Consider the following 6,768-nt stretch of genomic DNA (forward strand, 5'->3'; position numbering starts at 1 on the left):
TTCTCTGGCTACTCCTGATGGGTGGGGTGGGCTGGAAGGACCAGAGAGTTAACCAGGAAGCAGACTTAGCTAATGACTGACCCAGCTTCTTCGTTCCTATTGATGGTGGGTGAGAATTCCAAGGGATGCTCTGTGCAGTCTCCCAGAGGTCTCACAGACTATGTCCCAGGTGCCCACAGCAGTATCTGCCCAGCCTTTACGGGCTGACTTTATGCCTCACTTCCCCACTCCCTTGCTAGTATTTTCTGAGACTACTTCCCAAATAAGCCGCTTGCACTCAAATCTTTGCCTCACAGTCTGCTTCTGGGGTAACCCAAACCGAGACAGCCCCCCCTTTCTACCAGAATACCTAATGCTTAATTCAGTCACTTCAGGCAAATGTAGCTATTTGCAGATTTTTCAGTCATTTCACATGTAAACTCAGTCAGCTAGGAGTTTCTTCCCTGCCTTTGTTATGTATAACCAGAATTCTGGGGGCCAGAGGAGGACAAGGGTTGTGGTGTTCACATGTAGGATGTAGACGGATTTTTGCTTATTTTCCAGTTTTCACTGTGGCACCTTGGTTGTGCCCAGTGCCTCCACTTTGTTCTCTCTGGGGAAAGTCCTCCCATATTTGGATGGTACCGAGGAGGAGAATCTGGGTGTCTATTTGCTTTGTAACCAGACTCTCGACCTCATTCTCTTTTCAGCATCACCTTCTGTTATGATGCCAATGCCTGAAACTTTCAGGGGTTCTGCTGAGCAAAGGGGGTTGCTTCTTGAATTTCCTCACTACTAGCCTTGAATTCCACTTTCTCAAGTCTACTAATTCAGCTATCCCTCTTGCTACTGCTACCAAGCTTCCAAAACATGGTGGCTGGTGCTGCCTCTCTCGCTACCTTTATTTTTGTGGTTATGCCTTTTAAAAAGTTTTGGCCAGGTGTAATGACTCACACCTGTCATCTCAGCACTTTGAGAGGATAAGGCGGGTGGATCACTTGAGGCCAGGAGTTTAAGACCAGCCTGGCCAACATGGTGAAACCCTGTCTCTACCAAAAAATACAAAAATTAGCCAGGTACAGTGGCACATACCTATAGTCCCAGCTACTCGGGAGGCTGAGGCATGAGAATCCCTTGAACCAGGGAGGTGAAGGTTGCAGTGAGCCAAGAGCACACCACTGCACTCCAGCCTGGGTGACAGAGTGAGACTCTGTCTCAAAAAAAAAAAAAAAAGTGTTGTTTGGGAAGGGTTAGGTAATAATTTGTGTGTTCAGTCCATTAGTTTAAGTTGAACTGACTTCCTCTTACCAAATAGTTTTAAAACTGTCCAATCTGGAAGTTGGCAATGTTCACAGAGTGGGTCCCCATCTCACAGAATGCTGATTGTCAGTCCTGGTCGGGCCTTCAGAATCCCCTGTGAACTTATTGAAACACAAAGACAGTTGGGCCCCATTCCCAGACGTTCTGATTTCAAGCCTGGAGTGGGACCTGGGAATCTGTGTTTTAATATGCTCTACAAATGATGCTTGCAGGTTATTGCAGTAGAGAAACTCCCTGCAGTAGAGAAACTCCATGGAGTAGAGAACTCCATGACAGATGATCAACCGGACCTTAGATCTTCATTGGCAGGCTGTGCAAATAATTAGATGATTCTGAACATTAGGAAGTGATTCAATATATGTAACTCAAATCTGTATTCAGGGAACCTCTGTCTTTCTCCCAACTTCTACTCCTTAAGACTATGCCCCACATGCATGATTACTATTTGTGTGACTGAGGGCAGCTACTATTTCCATTTCTCCCTTTGGGCTGTTCTTTTCTTTGGTGGACTCTTCTACTGCTTCTTCCTAGAGCATGTTTTTCAGACCCTTCACCATCCTGGGTAGCTATTTCTGGCAATTAACTTCGGTTTATAAACATCCTGTGTGAAAATGTGGTGTTGCAAATGGAACCAAATATTCTTAGTGTCTGAATTTCAGAGTACAGGGTAGTTGTTATGTCTCTAGAGTCAGATTTTGCATACATGAATGTGGTCATTGATTATACTGTTTTGTTTGTTTGTTTTTAAAGCCTGTTGTTACTGATGGTTCAGTTTATTGTTGGAACCAGATCCTTTCCCCCAGTGAGATCTTACAGATCTTTTAAGTCAGGTCTCCAACTGCTGCACTCAATAATGAACTTTCTAACAATGTGTCAAATGAATTACTAGATGAATGAGTGAATAAATGAACCTTAACAGGAAGCTGAAGTGGCTTTTCTTGATCTCATAGGATTCTGGTGAAGTCCTAAAGGTGAGGATGGTAGGTGAAAGTTACCCTCACTTTCCAAAGGGAGGTACTAAAATGGACAAGGCAAGATGTGGTTACCTCATTCCAAAGAGAGGTACCAGACACCCCTATGCCAGACTTAATGGAAAATAATAGAAAAGGTTCAACAGCCATCAACCCCTTCTCCTACCTCCAGTCTTCATGAGAAGACTACTGTAAATATTTGAAATAATTATTAGAGAGGCATGGGGAAAGGAAAACTCAGCCCAGTGTGGGATGCTGTGATGTCTCCTCTCTTTTCTCCATGTTTATTTCCATGCTGGCCCTGCATATTTCTTATTTCCTGGCTTGTGGCCTGCTGAGATGCAGAATCCTGTGGTCCCATCTTGGTGTAGCCACAGGGAAGATGAAGGTGAGAGATCTTGGGAGAGGTTGGACCTGAGGCACTCATGTGAAACAAGGTCTGCGACCCACATTTTACCAGCTATGCTGAAAGAATGTTAGCTGGCACTTCCTGGAATGGCAGGGTAAGGAGGTGAGGACTTCTTGCATTTGGTGTGGCTGGGATGGGTGAGTGGATACTATAGGTGATCACCAGGTTTAAGTGGTCTTGATGGGAGCTTGCCCAAGAGGTGAGGCGACTCCAGCAGGAAGAAGGCTTGGGATGGACTGTTGTGCCAAGAATTGGAAAGAAGGAAGCACCTGAGGTTATGCAGAAAGTACATTGCCCACAGCAGAGAACTGCACGGTATGGAGGCTTGTGTGGAGACACTTCCAAAGGCCCCACCAATGCACCCCACCAGGAGACAGGCTGAAAACCTGCCGTACACTGAAGGCCACTCCAGCCAAAGGCAAACCACAACCATAGTATTAACCTAGTTTAACTATTTTCTCTAATCCCTCTTTCTCCTGCTTTGTCCCAGAGGAGGGAAGAAGTAAAGGAAGAGCAGAAGAACAACTCACAGTCCTTCCTCATTGCAAAGCCATGAGCCATAGATTAGGCATGAACTAGAAGGAGAATTGATGTTTCAAATTGCATACGAGGTGGTAGTTTCGATTTGAACTTGACAGAACCTGCTTTTCAGTAGCTAAGAAATGAATCAATGTCAGAATGAGACTGTTCTATTTTTTTTTTTTTTTTTGAGACAGTGTCTTACTCTTTTTCCCAGACTGGAGTGCAGTGGGGTGATTACAGCCTTGAAATCCCGGGCTCAAGTGATCCTCTCACCTCAGCCTCCCGAGTAGCTAGGACTACAGGTGTGCACCACCATGCCCGACTAATTTTTAAATTTTTAGTAGAGACAGGGTCTCACTGTGTTGCCCAGGCTGGTCTTGAACTCCTGGCCTCAAGTAATTCCCTTGCTTCGGACTCTCAAAGTGCTGGGATTACAGGTGTGAGCCCTGACACCCAGCCAGAATGAGACTATTCTTATTGAAAGTGATCAATCTGTCTCAGATGTTTTCTAAGCGTAGAAACAATTTTGAAGAAAGGGTTGGAGGAACAAATGCGGCTGTTTGCATGAATAGATGCAGCTGTTTCCTTTGGACCTCCGCAAGCTCAGCTGAGCCTGTGGGTAATTTAATATTGAATGAATGAGTGACTGGTGATAACGGATTCTTATCATTGTGTACTTCCAATCCCAGAGAGCTGCTAGTTTATTGGACTTCTGAAGTCCTTGTGGTCAAATCAGCCATTCATTCCTTCATTTATTAATCCAATTTTAAATTGGGCTAGGCCCTTGGATTCCTAAATGAGTGAACCAGGCCCTTGACAACCAGGAGCTTGCCTGGCTCTTGGAGGAGGAGAGGATTCTATTGAGCTCTGAGGGATGGTTCAGGCCTGGGCTGGGAGAGAAGAGGAGATGTCCATTCAGGATGGGAGTGCTGTCTCTTGGACGTTGGGCATCCTGACGTCCTGCTCTGACCCTGGCTTGCTCATTCATTTATTCATTCATTCATTCATCTAAGAAATAAGTATTGAGCACCTACCTACTTTCAGGGTAATCTGCTTGGCATCTTTCTTAGAGTGGCATTCCCAATGGGCAGATTTTCCAGCATGGCAAGTCTGTTTCTCACTTTCTTAGAAATTCATATGGCAAAGAAGTGGTGTGGGTTAGAAGTTTTGGAATTTCTAGTTTCAAACTATTTACATCTCTGACTTCCCCAGTTGCTCCCTAGTCCTCTGTTGACTTCAGACTGAACCTCTGAACTGGAAATCAGGAGAGGGTTCAAGTGGTTCTCCCGCCTCAGCCTGCAGAGTAGCTGGGACTACAGGCACATGCCACCATACCTGGCTAATTTTTTGTATTTTTTTGTAGAGATGGGGTTTCACCGTGCTAGCCAGGATGGTCTCGATTTCCTGACTTCATGTTCCACCCGCCTCGGCCTCCCAAAGTGCTGGGATTACAGGTGTGAGCCACTGCGCCCGGCCATTTTAACTTGTAAGTCTGGCAGCCCTACTGTCAGGGAAAGCCTCTCTCTGGCCTGAGAAAGGCCGTGAGTTTAATCTCTTGGGTTTTTAGGAGGCCTCTTCCCCTACAAATCTTCCAACCATGGCAGTCAGGGCCTGGCTAGAACCTGCTGTTGACTCTCCTCACCTTGCCCTTGTAGGGTGCAGAGAACGTGGACTGCCCCATGTGAACTGAAGATCAGGAGATCTGAATTCCAGATCATAGTCTGCCAGCGAGGTCACAGAACACGTTGCTGGCAGACTCTGGGCCTGATTTTCCTATTTAGAGACCATTGAGGATTCTATGGACTGTTCAAATATCATACATGGATTTAGCTTTGGAGGGCAACCGGGACAGGAACATTTGTCCATGTGTCCTCTGTGTACCCATCCAGTGTACTCTCTCTCTCTCTCTCTCTCTCTCTCTCTCTCTCTCTGTGTGTGTGTATGTGTGCTTGTGCGTGCTAGGGGATGGAAGAGAGATGCCAAACTGCCTGAGATGATGCAAGAAATGGCCTGTTAAGAGCCACCTGCCATGCTTTTTTTGATTTTGTACAACTCCTGTACTGACAGTGGCAGTCGGTGGGGGAGAGTAGTTGGGAGTTGCCCCATTTTTTTCTCAGTTCAACTTCCCCAGAATGACTCCCCACAACCTTTCTCACTCCCAGGAGAAAACGCAGGTTCTTTCTTCTGTCCTTGGAATAAAGCAGGCTGGTAAAAAGGAACAAAGACACAATGGCAGGTTGTTGAGCTGAGCTTGAAAGGGCTCAGCGGCAGGGGGCCTGGCTTCGGCTCCAGGTGCCTGGGCCCAGGTCATCCCATCTGGGAAGCTGCTCCTGGCTATTCATTTGTTCAGTATCATTCTGAAACACAAGGCAAGGAGGAGAGGCAGAGCTACAGAGAATCTGAGGAGAAGCCCGAAAAATAATTGCAACAAGGGAAGAGAGAAGTATATCCTGTCAAATGCTGCTTTGGTACCTAACTCTGAGATCACAGACATTTGGCAGGACAGAGAAGAAGACACTAATTGGAAGGGGTTGGGTAAAACTCACACAAGGGCTGGCAAAGAAACCAGCACATTCTCAGAACTGCCTAGAAAGACAGAACACCACTTTGGGAGGCCAAGGTGGGCGGATCACCTGAAGTCGGGAGTTCGAGACCAGCCTGACCAACATGGAGAAACCCTGTCTCTACTAAAAATACAAAATTAGCCAGGTGTGGTGGTGCATACCTGTAATCCCAGGTACTCAGGAGGCTGAGGCAGGAGAATCACTTGAACCCGGGAGGCAGAGGTTGCAGTGAGCCAAGATCGCACCATTGTACTCCAGCCTGGGCGACAAGAGTGAAACTCCGTCTCAAAAAAAAAGAAAGAAAGAAAGAAAGAACACCAGGAGAGACCAGCCATCTGTTGCCCTGATGCAGAACAATCTTGGCTCTTGGTTTTAAGAGAGAAGTTGGTATGTGTTGCTGTGACAGTCTGTTTGCACTGCTATAACAAAATACCACAGACTGGGTAATTTATAAACAATAGAAACGTATTTCTCATAACTCTGTAGGCTGGAAGTCCAAGATTAAGGTGACAGTGGGTCCAAGTGTCTGGTGAAGGGCTGGTCTCTGATTCTAAGATGATGCCTTGAACATTGCATCCCCCTACATGGTGGAAGAGCAGAAGAAAAGAAACCCATTCCTTCAAGCTTTTTTATAAGGGTTCAAATCCCATCCATGAAGGATCTTCCCGCCTGGCTTAATCACCTCCTAAAGGGCCCAACTCTTAATATTATCATGGGCAATTCAGTTTCAACCTGTGAAATTTGGGAAACAAGTGCAGACCACAGCAGTGGTGGACACTGCTGTTGTGCCACTCGGCTCCCCTGAGATTCCTTTTACCATCCCTCTGGGGGTATCCTCTGCTCCGTGTACTTTGTTGCTAACACTGGCACCTGTGCCTTTTGGAAGATCGTCTTGGCCAGTGGAGCCACCTTGCCTAACTGTGAGCCAGAGGAGCCTTGGAGTTTCATGCCCTCTCCCGAGCCTTCTCCCTTCCTAGCCCAGGACCGGTGTGAGCATGCAGAA

At 46.5% G+C, this 6,768-nt stretch overlaps 1 annotated feature.

Annotated features, from left to right (window-relative positions):
- Positions 285 to 786: an enhancer, noted in NCBI's record as "OCT4 hESC enhancer chr20:5246300-5246801 (GRCh37/hg19 assembly coordinates)". NCBI's record gives its function as "activates a minimal SCP1, AML or CMV promoter by ChIP-STARR-seq in primed H9 embryonic stem cells {active_cell/tissue: H9 hESC(primed)}" and the evidence as "EXISTENCE:reporter gene assay evidence [ECO:0000049][PMID:30033119]".

Source organism: Homo sapiens, chromosome 20 (genome assembly GCF_000001405.40).
Source record: "Homo sapiens chromosome 20, GRCh38.p14 Primary Assembly".
Classification (NCBI taxonomy): Eukaryota; Metazoa; Chordata; class Mammalia; order Primates; family Hominidae; genus Homo; species Homo sapiens.